General features: G+C 37.3%; 1 protein-coding gene and 1 non-coding gene across 7 annotated transcripts in view; both read left to right on the forward strand.

The window, feature by feature from the left end:
• Window positions 1-19,900, forward strand: part of SDCCAG8 (SHH signaling and ciliogenesis regulator SDCCAG8) — a 244,051-nt gene that overhangs the window by 84,326 nt on the left and 139,825 nt on the right. For all 6 annotated transcript variants that reach the window (NM_001350249.2, NM_001350251.2, NM_001350248.2 and 3 more), the window contains 2 exons: window positions 673-807; window positions 3,849-3,965. In NM_001350249.2, the coding sequence (NP_001337178.1) occupies window positions 673-807; window positions 3,849-3,965 (252 nt within the window). The remainder of the gene's footprint in view (window positions 1-672; window positions 808-3,848; window positions 3,966-19,900) is intronic.
• MIR4677 (microRNA 4677) lies at window positions 5,810-5,889 on the forward strand. Its single transcript, NR_039824.1, has one exon. It is a non-coding gene; the product is annotated as a microRNA 4677 (primary transcript).

Genomic DNA, 19,900 nt, shown 5'->3' on the forward strand with positions numbered 1-19,900 from the left:
GTGCACACAAGCTGAATATCAACCCTGAACGTGGGAAGGGTCACCTATTTTGTGCTGGGAACTGGAGTCAAGGAAGACTTCCTAGAGGAGAGGAGATAATGGCTGAGCTGAAACCTACATGAGAAATGAGGGAGAACTAGATAATAGGGGGGCGGTTGGGGTTTTACCAACAAAGGGCACTGCACAGAGCCTCTTCTTTGTTGGTTTGCGGGAAGGGTAGTGGGAGCCATAGCAGACCAGTTGCTCTCTCTAAAGAACTTCCTCCTTAACTCTCCCCATCAGTCCTTTTATACCTTCCATGTGGAAGAAGGGTTTAAGAGTTGTATGCTTCTGTATCTCCTCTGAATTTATTTATGGCACTCTGTTTCATAACTTAATTGGGTGTTTGATAACTGTCACTTTAGGGTTTCAACCAAAACCTTGACTTTATCATCTTGTTATACATTTTTCAAAATGAGGTTAGAGATCAGGGGAATGAATAGGAGAGAAGTACATATTTCAGTTCACTGGGCATAGGTGAATAGAGGAAGGAGAAAAATGAACATACCCAATCCACAGAGAAATGGCTCACAGAGCCCAGTGACTATGCTGAGACGCTATTAATTCAAGAAAGTTTTAGTATTTGATTTGTCAAATGACATTATTGTTTAGGACTTTTATTTTCCCTTACAGATGTTGATCTTGTCTCAGAATATTGCCCAACTGGAGGCCCAGGTGGAAAAGGTTACAAAGGAAAAGATTTCAGCTATTAATCAACTGGAGGAAATTCAAAGCCAGCTGGCTTCTCGGGAAATGGATGTCACAAAGGTACAGAAAGAGATTTTAGTGTAATCGTTACTTAAGGAAATATTTCCTTTGAAAAATGTTTTCCTAATGTACAAAACTCTTACTGTTATCAGGAGGAAGTTTGGAGTAGAAAAGTTTTGTGATTTCAAGAATAATAAAAGGCCACCTAATGGTTACTCAGCAAACATTCAGTTACTACATGCAGCCCCTCAGTGGGTATTGCATGTGCAAGGATGAATTAGACACCAGTCATGGCCTTGAAGAGCTTAAGGGTTAAGTGGCAGAGACAGACTTACAAATAAATAAGAGTTATATTACTTTAATTATTGAATATTTGATAAACCTCATTTTTCTAAATTAATTAAGAGTGCTTTGTTTTTGCCGTAGATAGCATAAGGTTGGTGTTTACAATAATTGCCAAAGACATATATTGACAACTTAAAAGGTGTGCTTGACATAAAAAATCTTCCACTTCCTTTTCCTTTTCAGACTTGGTCATTAAAATAAAGATTCTAATACTACATGATCTTATTGGTGCTTAAATTTATACTTTAAAATACTACATTGTCTGTGCTATGGGCATCACTGGTTCGTGAATCAAGAACTAAAATGTTTAATGGTCTTTACTGGCAATGATTAAGATACATATTGTAAGAAATACTAGAAGTCCATCTAGATTTCAATAGTTAATTGCTTTAAAACTAAGAAACTAATAAAATCAATTTATTTTTTACCACTAAAAACACAGATAATTTGCTTAAAATACTCTTTGCATATTACCTTTTATTCTTCAATGGATTTTCCTAAATTTTGACATATTTGTAATGCCATTGTTGCTCTATAATTCAGTAATTAAAATTAATTTTAACATGTATTAGGAAAGGGAGCCATTTTACCCTTTTTCTTGAGTTTCTATAATTCTCCATTTGCTTTTAAAAATTCCTATTAGCTAATGTAGAAGTTTAAGAAGCTCAAATTTTTGTGTGGAGATAGGGTGGAAGTGAAGGAATTAGTTCAGAAGGATGGGAATACTTAACCTAGATTTATAGGTGAAAGCTATGATAAGACAGTTTTCAGTTGATAATAGAGAGGCAGCTTTCTGTTGAAATCAGTACAGCAGAGAGAGAGTTCTCTGTCTCAAGAACTAGCTGAAAGGACATATACATCAGAAGAGCGATTAGACTAAATCGCCTTGAAGTTGCTTCCAACGTGGAGATAACATAGTTCTGGTTCAATTTAATGTGTTAATTTATTTGAAATAGAATTTGAGTGCTGTGGATAAACATAGCAAATGCTGAACTGAAAGTAGTAAAGCAGGGAACTGTAGGAGTGAAATGAAGGGATAAAATAATTTTAAATAAGACCTGCTGCTTAAACAGTTTTTACATAACCAGCTTGTATTGGTGTTGGGTTTTAAACATCATGGTTGTATAATTATTATCTTCTGATGTTATCAGTTCGGGGTTTTATTCCATTTTATTCATAGACATAAATATTAATAGTGAACAATTGAGAAAGAAAATAAAGTATGGCTCCTCATTTTTTTCCTGTCACTCTGAATTTGTAATTTTTATTTAGGTTTAAAATTAATAGTTTTTATAAATTTATAATTTTTGAAATCGGAGGAATAAACTCTCTCACATTGAAGGCATTTGAACTTCCAATAGAATTTTTAATAACTTCATTATTGTTCTAGCTTTCTGAGGGCTACTAGGGAGAAGCCTGTTGACTTTTTCTTCTGTCTTGTCACTATAGCTTTTAAACATAGATTAATTTATTTTTAAAATTACTTTTAAGGTTCTGTTTTGTTTGTTTGGAGACAGGATCTTGTTGTATTGTGCAGGCTGGAGTGCAGTAGCTATTCACAGACACTACCACAGTACACTGCAGTCCTGAGCTCCTGGGCTGAAGCCATCCTTCTGCCTCAGCCTCCAGAGGAACTGGGACTACAGGCATGCGCTACCATACCCAGCTTAAATGCATATAGGTTTTATACCTTAGTCTATTCTAATACCTCAGTAATGATGAAACTGATTTCTAAAGTTTCCAAAATCATTATTTTTGGAGAAATACCAAATACTTGAAAAGTTCCAAGAAAGCATAACGGTGAGATAATATATTAAGAGCCATATATTTGTAAATTAGAAGCCAACTTAGCTGACTTGTACATTAATTGAACTTTCTATAGGTTCTCAGTTCTCTCAAAAGGCCCATAATTTGCTTGTTTAGATTTATCTGCTAATTACACTTTTCAAATATATTTCCATTTCTGTAGCAGTCCTAGATTCGAAAAAATAAATAAAACAAAGTTCTTAGTGTTAAGTATAGAGGATGATACACAACACTTTTAAGATACTATGTGTGTTCATTATTGGTGCCGTATTACAATTATTTCATTTAAATGCATATTTTCCTTTTATATTGAATGTTACAGTCATAAGTGCATAGTGTGCTTAGTTCCAGTCTATGGCTTTTGCCAGAAAATCTTCCTTAACTTGAATACCTCATATTGTGTATGATAAGATGACATCTGCAAACCTTGCAGTCAATACTGGATATTACAGACCTAGATATCAATAGTATATCTATCAGCAGACAAAAATTCCTTTATACATTTCCTTTTAAAGAGCATAACTGATGAAGTCTTTAAAAGAAAACTTTGTAATATAGAGTGAATATTTAACTGTATCAATGTGAATGAATAATAACATAGCTTAACATTTTAACTACTAACTTTACCTATTTAAAGGTTAGATGATAGTGCATTTTGGTTGATAATATGCAATTGAAACTGTTATATAAAATAATCTTGGGCACATTACTTAAATTCCTTAGTTATGCATTTATTTATCTGTAATTTCAAGTTGTTAGAATCAATAATCCCTGGTGTTGCTTCTGAATCTTAACAAGCTACGTTGAATAGTCTAATAGAAAATGGCATTCTTAGAAAAGTTTTGTTGTATTTTATCTATATGACCTCTAGGGGGCACCAAAAGATCTAATTGCAGGCATTGCCTGGTAGATTCCAGCAGGTAATCATCCAGTTTTTTACAATCTAACAGGTGTGTGGAGAAATGCGCTATCAGCTGAATAAAACCAACATGGAGAAGGATGAGGCAGAAAAGGAGCACAGAGAGTTCAGAGCAAAAACTAACAGGGATCTTGAAATTAAAGATCAGGTAAGAGAGGACACAGCATAATTGCAGCAATTATAGATATGAGTAACATTCTTTCTCAAGTTGATGTTGTTTTATTCCTAATTTATTTATTTGTATTGTTTCTAACTAATGGGATGATCCAGTTTACACTGTTAGGAAAATTTCTTTTATAGTTGCCTAAAATTATCACCTTTCACATGAATGGTGAGAATACAACAGCATGCATATAAAATTCCAATCTGACAGGTCATAAATATACATTTGGATATGTGTATCTATTACTTACAAAAGTAAAAAGAAATGTTCTAATGCACAGTTTGAACCTAAAATATACATACATAAAGTTCTTGAAAGATGCCAACTTGAATCCAATTTTAAATGAAAAAGTTTAAAATTCGTAAGATGAGATGAGTTGATATGTAAATATGTCAATCAAATTGATTGTTGGCAGAGTGAAACCAGTTTTAACTAAGATAACCATGAATACGTTTGTTCATGAAGCCTAAATACAGTGACATTAGAAATGTTAGTGGATAAAAGCTGCGTACTTTAATTTCAGTTTGAACAGATGTTTTATGTTATATCTTTATTGAGATGAAGTAGATAACTCCAATTTTAGTTGACAACATGGATAAAGTTTTTAGAGAGGCAGTTCTAATAGGCTGACTTTTGATTTTCTATTTTTATGTTACAGTACAGGACCTTGAAGGTTTTCATTCTTTGTATTCAATGAAAGCAGGTTGTTTATTCAATTAAAATAGTAAGACTGGGTTCTTAGTGTCAATATTTTAAAATAATTGTTTTAGAATTTAGAAGTAGGTCGCTCCAAATAAGTTTTTTTTCAAATATGTTTCTAGTTCGAGGTTTTTCATCATATTTTCCAACATATTTTCTCTTTTGAGCCAATGAAGTCTTTACAACAAATGATGCAAAGACAATTGGGAAAAGTATTGAAAATGAAAGTGATAATGAAGACTAGAACAAAAAGCTTTTCAAGTCATAACTGAAATCCTTAGTACTAAATTAAAATCCTGGCAACCAAAGTAAAATTCTGCTTTTGTACCACTATATTTGGTGTTGTAATGGGTTTTACATTTTCAGAAGACTTTTAATTATTAACATGTACAAATAATGAAACATTTTATTGCATCCAGTTGGGGGCGTGCCTGATAGTGGAATGGAAAATGCTTTCTGTCAGGGACTGAAGGCCTAGGTCTACTAAGTTTATCACAGATAACTTTTCTTTCCTGATATATTGTAATTTTTTAAAAAGGAATCAATATATTGGCATACTTTTGGCCTTTCGTATTATTCTACAGCATTCTGACAGCATAATATTTTGGACTAACTGCAAAAATACATCAGGAAAGAGTCTCAGTTATTTAAAATTCCATTATAATTTTCTAGAGGAAAAAAGATCAGGGACAATAGGAGTATAATATCACTTGTAAAGGAATAACTTGTTTAGAAGCATTTGCAATATTAGAAGTATTTGCAGTATTAAATCTCATTTTAATTAATCCGTGATGGTATGGAGGCTAAAGTTGCAGGATTTACAAGGAGCAGTTTTCATTTGTAAACGTTTTCTGATAATAGTGAAACAATAGTAGTTTTCATAATGACGTTTAGTGGTATGTTTTTAGATAGAGATGTGCCTTTTTAGGAGGTCACAGCTTTAGGAATAAAACCTCTGAACAGTTACAAGATGTTTGTGATGTGTTGTGAAGTGATGTGCTTGTTACCATTTTTTTTTCCCAGACGGAATGTGAGGAAATCTTATAGGTACTCTTTTTAACTGTTTTGTATTGAACAGACAGTTTCAGAAAAGAAGTCGTGGTGTCTCATTCCATGGATGATTTGGAGTAGCAAAGCAGCAATTGTTCTTTGGTCTTTCAGCCATGACCTGACCTTCTGTCTGTGAGACCAAAGAACTACTTTGCTTGGCCACCATCTGCACTCAAGAGAGAAATTTACATTTAACTTTTAAAAGCGGGGCATGTTGAGCATTTATCTGAAATACCTACAATAATATAAAGTAGATTAAATGTTTAAGTGTTGTGTATCTTACAATTCAGCATCACAAGCAGGCTATCTGTAGGTTTGCAAACAAGGTGTTCTTCATAATATAGTCATTTTATTCATATTTTAGTTCATCTGACCACTTGATACATTTTTAAAGTGGGTGGGAAACTGTGAGATTGGAATGTGTGAGAACAACAGCTTTTTTGATGTATACAAAATAGGGCAAATGGTTAACCACCAAAATAATTTTCCTTGTGACCTGAGCCTTGGCTCTGGCATAATTAGAAGGAAAGGTTAGGAGAGTAACAATGGCAGTCGCTTCCACCCACTTTCTTCTTTTCTTCTTTATATTGTGTCAGGAACCGATGGGCGGATTATCCTTCCCATCAACTCCTTTGTATCTCTTCAGCTTAGAGAATTCCTGTCAGCCTCAGAGGATGCTTCTTGCACCAGAAAAAGAGGCATTTGGTATGGAGGAGAATGTGAAATATGCTCTTTGATTTTTATGAGAAATTTTTTTAGGCAATGGTTATACACACACACACACTCGATCAGGGGAATTTAAAAACATGTATGAGGGTATAGGGAATATTGTAATGAGTCCTCACATTTCCATCACCTACACTCATCATTTTGCCCGTCCTCTTCCTCAGTCCTATTCCATCACTCATCATTTTGCCAGTCCCCTTCCTCAATCCTATTCCATCACTCATCATTTTGCCAGTCCTCCTCCTCAATCCTATTCCATCTATCTCACTTTTTTCTCTCTACTTCTGTCCTCATCGTCACCTTCATCTTCTTTGTCATGTTTTTTCTGCTCCACCTTCTCATCTTCATCTTCTTCTGTCTTCTTCCTCTACCTCTTTTTCTTCTTTTGCAGAAGTATTTTAAATGGATCTCAGACCTTATGTTATTTTACTCATAAATACCCATGTGGATCTATGAAGGATATTTTTACATACTATGTCATTATCATACCTAACAATGTTAACAATACTTCTTTAATATCAAATAACACCCAGCCTATATTCACATTTCTTTGTCTCAAAAATGTTGATTTTACAGTTGGTTTATTCAAATTAGGAGAACAAGTATGTTTTTGTATGTCCAATTTTCTGGTGTTACCCTTTTTAATAGGAAATAAACAGAACTCTTAGTAAAATTTCATCTTTCTTTGTTGTTGTCTGTTAAATTTTGTACATAATGTTTTGATTATGCTTTATTTTTATAAAATGCCTCATTGTCATTCTAAAGAGGTATAAATTAATCCTACAGCAAAGTATGTGAAGGAAATGGCTACCACGCAGCATTCCTGATAATCATATCCCAAAAGGAGCTTCCTCGCATCCGAAACCCCAAATTCAGCATTAATTTCACAGCCTTGTATTTAAGATTTGGACATGTTGCAGGAGGCCCTAACATGACAAGGATGAGCTGACCTGAAATGAGTGATGCAGAAATAGAGTTTTTTTGTCAACTTCCCTTTTGGTAAATTAATCTGAGAAGACGATTCTTTATAGCCGCTAACCTTTGATTAGGGCCCAGTGCAAAGTGAAAATACAGGACCCTTTTGTTCAGAAAGCAGGAAAGAAGTGATATTAAAAAGAACTAAAATATAAAACATTTTCCTTTCTTCTTCAGTCTCTCTCTCCTTGCCCCTCCTCCCTCACCAACCCAGGCTGGACATGCATTTTTTTTTTTTTTCTTTTTTTTTTTTTTTTAGGACGGAGTCTCCCTCTGTCGCCCAGGCTGGAGTGCAGTGGCGCGATCTCGGCTCACTGCAAGCTCCGCCTCCCGGGTTCATGCCATTCTCCCGCCTCAGCCTCCCGAGTAGCTGGGACCACAGGCGCCCACGACCACGCCCGGCTAATTTTTTTTTTTTTTTTTTTTTGTATTTTTAGTAGAGACGGGGTTTCGCCGTGTTAGCCAGGATGGTCTCGATCTCCTGACCTCTTGATCCGCCGGCCTCGGCCTCCCAAAGTGCTGGGATTACAGGCATGAGCCACCGCGCCCGGCCTGGGGCGGGAATTCTTACCTCCCTGTCCAGCTCTAAGATGGCAGGGATGGGCACACTTGACTCAATCCTCTCTAAACACACATTCAGGATTCTGCCAGGGGCAAAAGACACAGGAGAACACACACCTCCCCCAGTGACATACGCACCTCCCCCAGTGCCCTGGTCCCACCCTAGGTGGAGGGACCCACCCCAGCAGCAGGGCAGGGCGGGATAGAGGAAGCTGGAGAGGAGTATATTTCTGAGAACTGCGTAGGGCTGCAGTGAGGCAGTGGAAAGATGAGACCACATACAGGAGTTCAGTCTCCATTGTTCCATCAGAGTACACCTACAAAACACAATTCTAGCCGGGCGTGGTGGCTCACGCCTGTAATCCCAGCGCTTTGGGAGGCCGAGGTGGCGGATCACCTGAGGTCGGGAGTTTGAGACCAGCCTGACCAATATGGAGAAACCCCGTCTCTACTAAAAATACAAAAAAAAAAAAAAAAAATTAGCCGGACATGATGGCACATGCCTGTAATCCCAGCTACTCAGGAGGGTGAGGCAGGAGAATTGCTTGAACCCAGGAGGCGGACGTTGTGGTGAGCCGAGATCACGCCACTGCACTCCAGCCTGGGCAACAAGAGCGAAACCCTGTCTTGGATAAAAACAAAACAAACAAAACAAAAAAAAAAAAACACAATTCTAAGATACAATTGCTAATAATTTCAAGACATTGACCACAGAGTATTAAACTGCAAGTGTAAGGACCCTTCTGAACAGCACATGTGTGACTGCACTGATCACGTGCCCAAGAAACTGCCATAACCAGGGGGATGGGCAAATGGAGATTTTGCATACTAATATATGTGTATATATCCCCACTCACATATACAGACACATATGCATATTCAATATGCTAATGTGCCCAGTATTCATAAAAAAGTGTTAGCCAACTACAGCTCATAGGTCAAGTCTGGCCTGCTGTCTATGTTACAAATAAAGTTTTATTAGAACTCAGCCATACCTACTCATATATGTATCACCTATTGCTACTTCCTGCAACAACAGCAGAGTTGAGGAGTTGTGGTAGAGACCATATAGCCCACAAAGCCTAAAATATTTACTGTCTGACCCTTTACAGAAAAAGTTGCCAATCCCTACCTTGAGTATAGAAATACAACTGTATTTTTTAAGTTTCCTCTGACTTACTAGGATGCTGAGCTTTGAGTTTGAAGACCCATGTATCTTAAATAATAACAATGGTTTTAGAGTATTTTGCAGTATAACAAATGTGCCACATCTTTAGTCTCTTAAAAATCTAATGGCATTACTCAGCGAGTGTATCACTGATAATCATGGCATTTTCTTATTAGTGGCACATGACTTACTAGTGGCTTGGATGGGAGTGTAAATACCGTATGATTTTATATTTACAATTTTGTTTTTAGGTTGGTTCCAATTTTATTTTTCAGAGATAAGAAGGCTGATATAGAAAGCGTCTTTCTTTTTTTTTTTTTACCGGCATTGTATAAATTATAATTTTGGAGTTGTGGCTACTACTGAGTAGAAAACATCAAGTTTGAAATGACTTTAATGGAGCAATCAAAGCAAATATTCAGGGTGGGGTATCTCTGCAAAAGAAATAGATCCAAAAATTTTGGCTGGAAAAATGAGGGCAAAAAAGGATTTGAGGGTTGCTCATATCTACAGCAGTGATTCAGCACTTGGACACTGACATTAAGGATGGAGTGTAAGGACACAGGAATTATCGCCTAAATTCAGTTGAATTAACTAGACTGTTGGAAGAAGTGCATCTATATTGTATGGCTTTGTGTAAGGAGAAGAAGGCCTGCCTGCAAGCCCTAAAAGTCAGTCCTTTTTTCTTTCTTTTTTTTTTTGAGACGGAGTCTCATACTGTCGCCCAGGCTGGAGTGCAGTGGTGCAATCTCGGTTCACTGCAACCTCTGCCTCCCAGGTTCTAGCAATTCTCCTGCCTCAGCCTCCCAAGTAGCTGGGACTATGGGAGCACGCCACCACCCCCAGCTATTTTGTTGTTGTTGTTGTTTTTTAGTAGGGACAGGGTTTTACCGTGTTGCCCAGGCTGGTCTTGAACTCCTGAGCTCAGGCAATCCACCTGCCTCGGCCTCCCAAAGTGCTGGGATTACAGACGTGAGCCACTGCGCCCGGCCTATGTCAGTCCTTTTTAAAGTTAGAGAAATATAAAAGCAATAAAGAAAAGTTGAAGAATTGTACCTTTTACTTAGAGAAGACTTCAACATTGCTTCACATCTTCAAGGATTTGACAAATTATTTCAAGGAAAAAGTTAAACACCTGATTTGAGTCTTCAATATGGACAGAACAAGAACAAAGGGATTTAACTACAGCAACTACAAATCACAATAGCCTGAAACAAGAATTTTCTGACAGTAAGGAGATTGAAATTGCTGCAACAGGCCATGGAACCTTTTCCCTGGAAGTTTTAGTTTTAAATAGTAGCAGCAATATGATTTACCTGAAGACCCAGCTCATGGACCTCTGAGGTCCAGTCTTCTATTTGATTCTGGAAGCGTCCTAGAAAGACATCGTTGTATCTTTTAAAAGTGGGTAACAGCAGTGTTAGTCTTTTCTACTTGAAACCTAGCACTTACAGATTAAAGTAAAATCCTGTTCCGTTCTATTCTCTGCTTTGTGTCTTTAAAGCTGTGTACTCTTTTTCAGAAGGTTTTTGGGGAATATGCTAAGATAATGGATGACTTCTCAAGAGCCAGACTTCAGAAACTTATCCAACTACCACCTGCAGTCTCACTTCTCCCTCTACAAAATGACTGGGAGAGGGGCCATTTGGGCCTGCCTTTGGTACATGTAATCACTCGGTCCTGGTGATGACAGAGTTGCTCTCCAGTATTCTTCACACCCTCTTTCAGTCTGTAGACTTAGCACATTCTTGTCCCTGCTCCCTACGAAGACAACAGCAGTTCCAGAGGGCTTGGCTTACCCAGACCAGTATGCTAGACACTGTGGGGGTAATAACTAGGAGACCCAGGTCCTACCCTTAGGGAGTTTATATTCTAGTTGAGGAGTCAGAGTACACATTAGAACATGCCTTAAGAATACTTGCAAAGCAGCATATCGACAAGTGCAAATTAATGTAGTGTGAACTTCATGCTGGCTACAGCCCATGAGAGGGAGAATCTGGTTCCATGTGTGTGATGCAATAAAGCTTTTTTATAGCATCTTCTCTAAGTATGCCCTAAAGCATTGTTCAGCATACTTAGAGAAATTTGTGTTCTTATCGCAGCCTAACCAAGAATTCTGAGAAAATTCTTCAGCCTAACATATGTCTAATAAATCAGCCTCTTTTGTTCTTGTCCTGGATGATGCTTGAATGGGACAAGTAGGATTTATTGGATTATACAAATAATTTAAAATATGTTCATTTAATAAAAGTCTAAGTTATTGATTGAACTTATTTTTCTAAAATGCTGTGCCAAATTACTTTCTTCATCTAAAATCATCATGTTGGTAAAATCACAAAATTAGCAGTAAAAAAATATAATTCAATTTTTCTGCATAAAGAAGCAGTTCCAAATCAATCCAGTGAATAATACCGAGTTGGAGATCATTGGGGCATTTAGCATTTAGTCACGTTGTTAATGATTTAGGCAGTTGTTTTCTGAGGCAGGGTATGTATACCTCATTCATAGAAACACTGACTTTTCAATTAACATGCTCAAAAAAAGAATCTATTAATTTCTGCTTGTTATTTGATTTTCCAACAAAGATGATAATGCTGTTTAACATAATAATTTATTTTACAAAATCAAATGTATAAGCAGAGACAACACATCTGAAAATAGCAATTTAGGTATATTTAGAAGATAAGAGTACAAATAGGAAATAAAACAAGCTTTCTTAGAAATAATATGCCTTATAGGAGAAACATTAAGAAATAAATATTTGCCTTTGGATGGGAATAGAAAACTGTAAACTGGACTCTAAGAATATTCCTGTGTGCCCTGAAGAAATATAATGTTTGCTATATTTTCAGTTTCAGTGGATGACATGTGTTTTGGTTCTTTGAACATTTTTTTGCATGCTTGTTTTGACTGTAAAAGTTGACTTACCAGCCAACTGCCAACTTGCAAAGTGCCTTCTCAGGTACCAACTCTGCAGTTCTGGTAGCTACCAGGTAGTGACAGTTCTTTAAATGTGTCCATGCAGCCCAACAAGCTGAGAGACATTAGACATAAGACAACTACATATGCTTTCTTTTTGTTTATAGTCCAGAAATATTAGTACCTATATCCAATATAAATATCACTAATTACTACATATGCATACATTTAAAAAAATTTATTGTATAAACATAAGCACATTAACAGAAGCCAGTAGTTCCATCACCCAAACAGTGTAAATTGTTTTTATTTTTCTGTTTTACCTTCCACTTTTTGTACATATGCATCTATAATATTTGCAAATATAAATAGATTCTAGTTTTGGTTTTTGCTTTTTTCATTTAACATTATCTTAAGCATTTTTTCTGTGTTGCTCCTTATTCTTCATAGTGATCACTTTACTGTGGCCATTTACATATACCTGTAAGGGAAAATGATAGTAAGTTAGATTTTGAGAACAGCCACTATGACAGATTTAGAGCCCTTTTGCCCTAAACTTCATATGTTGCTTTAATTCAATAACCATATATTATGTGCACTCTACTTAGCTATAATCAATTTCTGTCAGAAAGGAGTATGTAAACCAGGTATGCCAATAAATATATGTCAAAGAGAACATAGTAGCTATCAGCAAAATGCAAAAGGCATGGGAATTTGGGAGGGGAAAGATAACATCCTTGCAGGGTGGTTAGAATGTTGCCTAGGGCCAGCCGTGGTGGCTCATGCCTGTAATCCCAGCACTTTAAGAGGCTGAGGCAAGCAGATCACTTGAGGTCAGGAGTTCGAGGCCAGCCTGGCCAACGTGGTAAAACCGTGCATCTACTAAAAATTCAAAAATTAGCCGGGTGTGGTGGCGCGCGCCTGTAATCCCAGCTACTCGGGAGACTGAGGCAGGAGAATTGCTTGAACCCAGGAAGCGGAGGTTGCAGTGAGCTGGGATTGTGCCACTGCACTCCAGCCTGGGCAGCAGAGCAAGATTCCATCTCAAAAAAAAAAAAAAAAAAAAAAAAAAAAAAAAAGAATGTTGCCCAGCACGGATAGAAGAAGAAATTTATTTGGTTAGAAGGTTCAACATGGCAGCTTGAGCAAAGGAATGGGGGTGAAAAAGGAGGGTGCATCCAAGAACATATGTGTCTTTTGGTTCCATAGCATTTTTGTATAACTGACCTCCATTATTTCAAGTGCCACTTCTCTGTTGTAATAGATTGCTCATAGAAAATGGGTTTTAGTAACACTCAGAATCCCAATATAATTGTCTCCTTGTAATATACTGTATGCCCTGCAGTCAGGCACAGAAGTCATGGTATCGTTTGGGAATGTATGCATATGTATTTCATTTGCTTTGTAGTAGGTTTTATGTAATGGAAAAATTTTAAGATTTTTCAAATTTCAGATAACATAAATAAAATGTCATTTTATTTACAGTGTTAGAGTCATATAGGATTGTTTTCCTAGAAATAAAGAATTGACAATTATCTTGATTTGTGGAGGATTAGCACATGACTGTTGATGAAAGGTGAAACACAGATCATACAGGGTACTACTTTACTTAAGGACCATGAGTACAAAGTCATGACTTTCTGATTTAGCTTTTCCAGCTAATTTCCTGAGCAAACCTCTCAGAGCCTCAGTTTATTTCCCAGTGAAGTGAGAAGCTTGGACAAGTGGTAGCAAAAGTTTTCTCCAGCTGTAAATTCTTGCATTTCTAGAAACACAGGAAGTATTTCTTTGCCCCTCTTAATTGTGAATTAAATATTCATAAAATCAACAGAAATTGCATGGAGCCTCAAGTTTTATTCTGTATTTTCCAGTTATTCACTTTCACTTTATAAACATGACACTTTTGTTAAGATTATAAAAATGAATTTTGACTGTCATCTGCAATTTTAGACATTTTCGTTATGATTGGTAATAGAACAATAAAATGTCTAGCCTTGTAAAGAGTTAAGTTTACTTACAAGACAGACATCATCTAATTTGCAACAAGGATTAAAGCCCCACTCTGAATTAAAATTTCTACTGGAAAGATTTGAGGCACTGGCAAACTGTCAAAGGTAGTATTGTGCGAGAGTAACCAGCTTTTGCAAGACCTGTGAAAGTAAATCTCTTCGGCCAGAGTTTCTTAGGTGTGTGAACTTATGATGATCAGGAATACATTGGTGGATTCCCACTAGAGAAACGCACCATTAATAGTTAATGCTTTCACTTTCTGTTTTCACTTGTTGCCCTCATAAATGCAAGCATGGAATGAAAAGCTGTGGTAGTTCTGGACACAGATGACCTAGAATATGATCATCTTAAGATTTTGCTCTGGGAGTTCTTTTTAAAATCAATCAAAATGAAACCAAAAACAATTTTGCAATTGTCTTAGAGGTTTTACAGATCCCTGGCATGTTTTTCTGACCCTCACTGGAGTTCAGTATGAGACAGACCACGCTACAAAGAGATTCCTGATCTAACTCTAGGCTGTTCATGAGTGTTAGACACACAGTGTGAGACAGATCACCCTACACAGAGATTCCTGATCTAACTCTAGGCTGCTCCTGAGTGTTAATGAGTTGCAAGGTGTTTAGAGTTTTCATATTACTCTTCTTAACAGATGGTCAAGTTAATTTAACTCTTTTTGGTGTTAACATCTGTACTTAAGTGGATTTGTTACACTTACATTTAGGAAAAAGACAAGAAAGCTGCAGGGTCTTTATTTCTGGCCTGCCTTCTGCCATCCCTGAAAATTTCTGGAGTTTCCTATAGGAATGGAAAATTCTTCTTTGTATAAAATCTCTCTACTTACAACTGAAGTCCTGATACCTTCTCTCTCTCTCTCTCTCTCTCTCTCTCTGTCCCCTACCCTCTCTCCATGGTAATAAATTATACAAGTAGTAGTATTAGCCTTTCTTCATGAGTCAAGCTGTCATTGAAAATTCCCATTAAAGTGCGAGGGGACGCTCATATCTTTAAAGAAAGTGTGGCTGCCAAGGAAACGAGGGAGGTAAAAATAAACTTTTAAGGAGATCTTGAGATGGAAGAGAAAGAATCGTTCTACTCGAAAGATTATTTCAAATGCTACCTTTTCTGTTGGACTCTTCTTTCTTTCTTTATGATTAATATTATTATTTTGGGATTTGGTGTTTTACTCTGTTGTCCAGGCTGGAGTGCGGTGGCACAATCTCGGCTTATTGCAGCCTTGACCTCCTGGGTTCAAGTGATCATCCCGCCTCCACCTCCCAAGTAGCTGGGACCACAGGTGCATGCCACCACACCCGGCTAATTCTTTTTGTATTTTTTTGTAGAGTCAGGGTCTTGCTATGTTGCCCAGGCTGGTTTTGAACTCCTGAGCTCAAGCCATCCCTCCACCTCTGCCTTCCCAAGTGCTGGGACTACAGGCCTGGGCCACCGCACCTGGTGTGGATTCTTCTTTAGCTTGCTTAGAATGTTCTGCAAAGAAATCTGAATTCACTCATATGGAGAGGTGATTGTCATATCCTAGTTTGCATTAGAAACTTTAGGGTGTCATTTTCAACTAAATTTATCGTAGAACTGTAGGAGGGTCAGTGTTTCTTCCCTAATATACTGAAGGTCCACTATGTGTATAGCAAATTAAGCTATGCAAGGTTTTATATAATAAGAACCAGACATGTTTCATTTTAAAGGCGGCGTCAACACAGACTAACGAATACATCAAATATCTGTATGTATTTTTAAATCTATATGTAGATATATAGCTTTCTATATATCTTATTAATCTATAACCTTACTGTGACTTACTAATGATTTTTCTTGAGCAGAACCTGAAGTTTGAAGTATCTCAATGCTGAATTTGACATACCATAGACTTACTTCAATGGCTAGGAGAGCAAGAAAGATGCTAGAATTATCTTTAGTTATAAAAACAAGAAGAGAAAAGAAAAGTAGTGGCGGGGGGGTGGTGGGGGAAGTGGGAAGAGAAAATGGGAAAGACTTTAGAGGAAGACATTCTAAAGGCATTTATACTAAGAAGAATTGGGCTTTTTTTTTCCTGTTTATACTGTTTCACCTTAAACTATAACTCAGAAGAGGCAAACATGACCACCTATCCATCAGTATAATAATGCATCAGGATTTTCAGAAGGGAACCACAATAATGGATTTTAAAAAACCATTACTGGTATGAAAATCCCTTTTCCCCTACAACCACTGCTGATTGTCGAAAATAACTTCATGCTAGACATGGTGGCTTACTCCCGTAATCTTAGCACTTCAGGTGTCCCAAAGCAGGAGAATCGTTGAGCCCAGGAGTTTGAGACCAGCCTAGCCAACATGGTGTGACCCCATCTCTACAAAAAAAAGAAAAAAAAAATCAAAAAATTACCCAGGTATGGTGTCATGTGCCTGTAGTTCCAGCTACATGGGAGGCTGAGGTGGGAGGATCACTCACACCCAGAAGGTCAAGGCTGCAATAAATTGTGTTCATGCACTGCACTGCAGCCTGGGCAACAGAGCAAGACCCTGTCTGAAAAGTAATAATAATATATAATAATAACTTTATGTACTTTGGCATTTTTCAGAAGATGCTTCTTACCCACATAGCAATGGAATTTATGAAGGTAACTTTTGGGCCGGGTGTGGTGGCTTATGCCTGTAATCCCGGCGCTTTGAGAGGCCGAGGTGGGTGGATCATGAGATCTGGAGATCGAGACCATCCTGACTAATACGGTGAAATCCCATCTCTACTAAAAATACACAAAATTAGCCAGGCGTGGTGGCACATGCCTGTATTCCCAGCTACCTGGGAGGCTGAGGCAAGAGAATCGCTTGAACCTGGGAGACGGAGGTTGCAGTGAGCTGAGATCGTGCCACTGCACTCCAGCCTGGGCAACAGAGCGAGACTCTGTCTCAAAAAACCAAGAAAAAAAAAAAGAAGGTAACTTTTGTCTTTAGTCTTTCCTATTTCAATGGCCACATATAAAGGATGGAAGGAAAGGCTTCAGATAATAAAGAGCAATGGCTTGGTGGGCACCAAGGGTCAGAAAGACTTTAATAACTTAGTCCACCTCCTCCATTCTGTATATGATGAGACTGTGAGTCAGCTGGGAGTAATTACCTTATTTCCATGCAGCCATTTATTTAACTAATAATTAGTGATAACCTATTATGTGTTGCAAACAAATACGCACAGGGGTGCAATGAAAAATAAAAATATATTTACTGCTCTTAACAACTCTTATAGTTTGGTGAGGAAGTTAAATGTGCTGGGGGCTCAGCAAAGGGTGTGGCCTACTGTGGCGGGAGAGGGTCCAGAAAGATTTTACACATTTACAGTCAATTGATTTTCAGCAAGGATATTAAAACTCAATAGGGAGCAAACAGACTTTACAGTAAATGGTGCTGGGAAAACCTGATACCCACAGGTAAAAGAAAGAACTTGGGTTCCTACCTCATAGTGTAGACAAAAATTAACTCAAAATGGATGAAAGACTAAATGTAAGAGCTAAACTTAGAAAACTCTTAGAAGAAAACATAGGCATACATCTTAGTGACTTTGGATTAGGTAATGGTTTCTTAGGTATGATGCCAAAAGCACAAAGAACAATAGAAAAAAAATAGATAAATTGAATGTCATCAAAATTAAAAACTTTTGACCTTTAAAGAACATTATCAAGAAAAAAGACAACCCACAGAACGGGAGAAAATTTTTGGTAACTCATGTATCTGATAAGAGACTTGTATCTAGGATATGTAAGGTACATTTACAATTTAATAATAAAAAGACTCCTCAATTTTTAAATGGGCAAAAGATCCGAATAGACTTTTTTTAAAGAAGATATGTTAATAATAACTATATTATTAACAAATGATTAATAAACATGTGAAAAGATGCTCAACATCATTAGCTATCAGGAAAATGCAAACCAAAACCAAGATGAGAAACCATTTCACATCTACTTTGGATAAGTGTAATAAAAAAGACAGATAATAACAAGTGTCGGTGAGGATGTAGAGAAACTGGAACTCCCCCATAAGTTGCTGGTAGAATTTAAAGTCATACAGGCTGAAAAATATTCGGGCAGTTTCTCAAAATGTTCAACATAGAGATATCATATGACCCAGCAATTCCAGTCCTGGGTCTATACTCAAGAGAAATCAAAACATGCTACTCAAAAACTTCTACACGGATGTTCATAGCATTATTCATAGTAGCCCCAAACTGCCAATACCCCAAATGTCTATCAACTGATGAATGGATAAATAAAATGTGGGGTGTGTGTATATAGATACATATTACATGGCAGTAAAAAAGAATGAAGTAATGATACATTCTACAGCATGGTAGACTTACAATTGAAAACATCATGTTAGATGAAAGAAGCCAGTCACAAAAGACAACATATTGTATGATTCAATTTATATGAAATGTTTAGAATGGGCAAATCTATAGAGACAGAAAGATTAGTGATTGTCCAGGTCTGAAATTGGGGACAAATGGGAGGGACTCCTGATGGGCATGGAGTTTCTTTTGGGGTGATAAAATGTTCTAAAATCGGTTGTGGTAATAGTTGCACAACTATTTTATTTCCTCAGTCCTGAACTTCATGTCCAGGTAGAGATTTATTCCCTAGAGTAACTAAGGAGGAGGAGTGTTAGCCAGCACCTTCCTCCTTCCTCTTGGTGACTAGAGTGTTAGCACGTCAGTCCAATTCTGAAGTTCAATCATTGGAAGCCTACTTACCCATAGATTTGAGCCACATTCTCTAAAATTGATTTCATTGCTAATACAGATGAACAGGCTTGCTCCATACTGTTCTACAGGCTGTGCACTGCACAATTCCACAGATGCCATTTGCACTATAGTCATGGCGGCCTCACAGTGAATGTACTAAACTCCGTGAATGTACTAAAAACTATTCAATTGTATACTTTCGGTGGGTGAATTCTATGGTGTGTGGATGATCTTAATAAAGTTGTTATTTTAGAAAAAAAATATATCATCCAAGTCATATTTTAGCCCAGTCTGGAGGGAACAAGAGTGGGAAGTGAAGGCCATTCAGGAAAACAGGACAGAGTCACAAAGGCACTGTTCTGTGTGTACCTGGAGGGCACAAGCGGGTGCAACAGATGAGGAAGGAAAGACAGAGCCCCACAAAACTGAAATGACATGCCAGAAGTGGCTGTAAGGTCCTTAAAGTCAGGGTCTTAACTTACCCTTCATTGTGTGTCCGGTACTCGGCACAGAGGAGACCTACGGCAGATATTTATCTGTTGATTGAGTGAATGCATAGTGAGCTAAGAACAAACCTTGAATACTTAGTGATAGTATCTAAATGAGATGACTGAGCTTCTCACTCCTAGGTCAGTCTTTGTTGTGCTATGTCTGATGGAAAGTTTTAGAATCAAGATGAGAATAACTCCTTTTATAATGATACTCATATTTTAGCAGTTATATGTGTTGAAAATGTTTGATCAGTCTTTTTTATATTTAGTTGTTCTAGTAAGTATATAATGGTATCTCATTGTGGTTTTAATTTTCATTTCCCTAGTGATGAATGGTACTGAGCATTTTTTCAGATGCTTTTCTTCTGTCCATATATCTTCTTCACATATATCCACTGCTACCGTCTAGTTCAAGGTACTGTCGTCTTCAGCTGTGTTATTGCAACAGTCTCTTTTTTTTTTTTTTTTTTTGAGATGGTGTCTCGCTCTGTCACCTAGGCTGGAGTGCAGTGGCGCGATCTCAGCTCACTGCAAACTCTGCCTCCTGGGTTCACGCCATTCTCCTGCCTCAGCC

Source organism: Homo sapiens, chromosome 1 (genome assembly GCF_000001405.40).
Source record: "Homo sapiens chromosome 1, GRCh38.p14 Primary Assembly".
NCBI classification, from domain to species: Eukaryota; Metazoa; Chordata; class Mammalia; order Primates; family Hominidae; genus Homo; species Homo sapiens.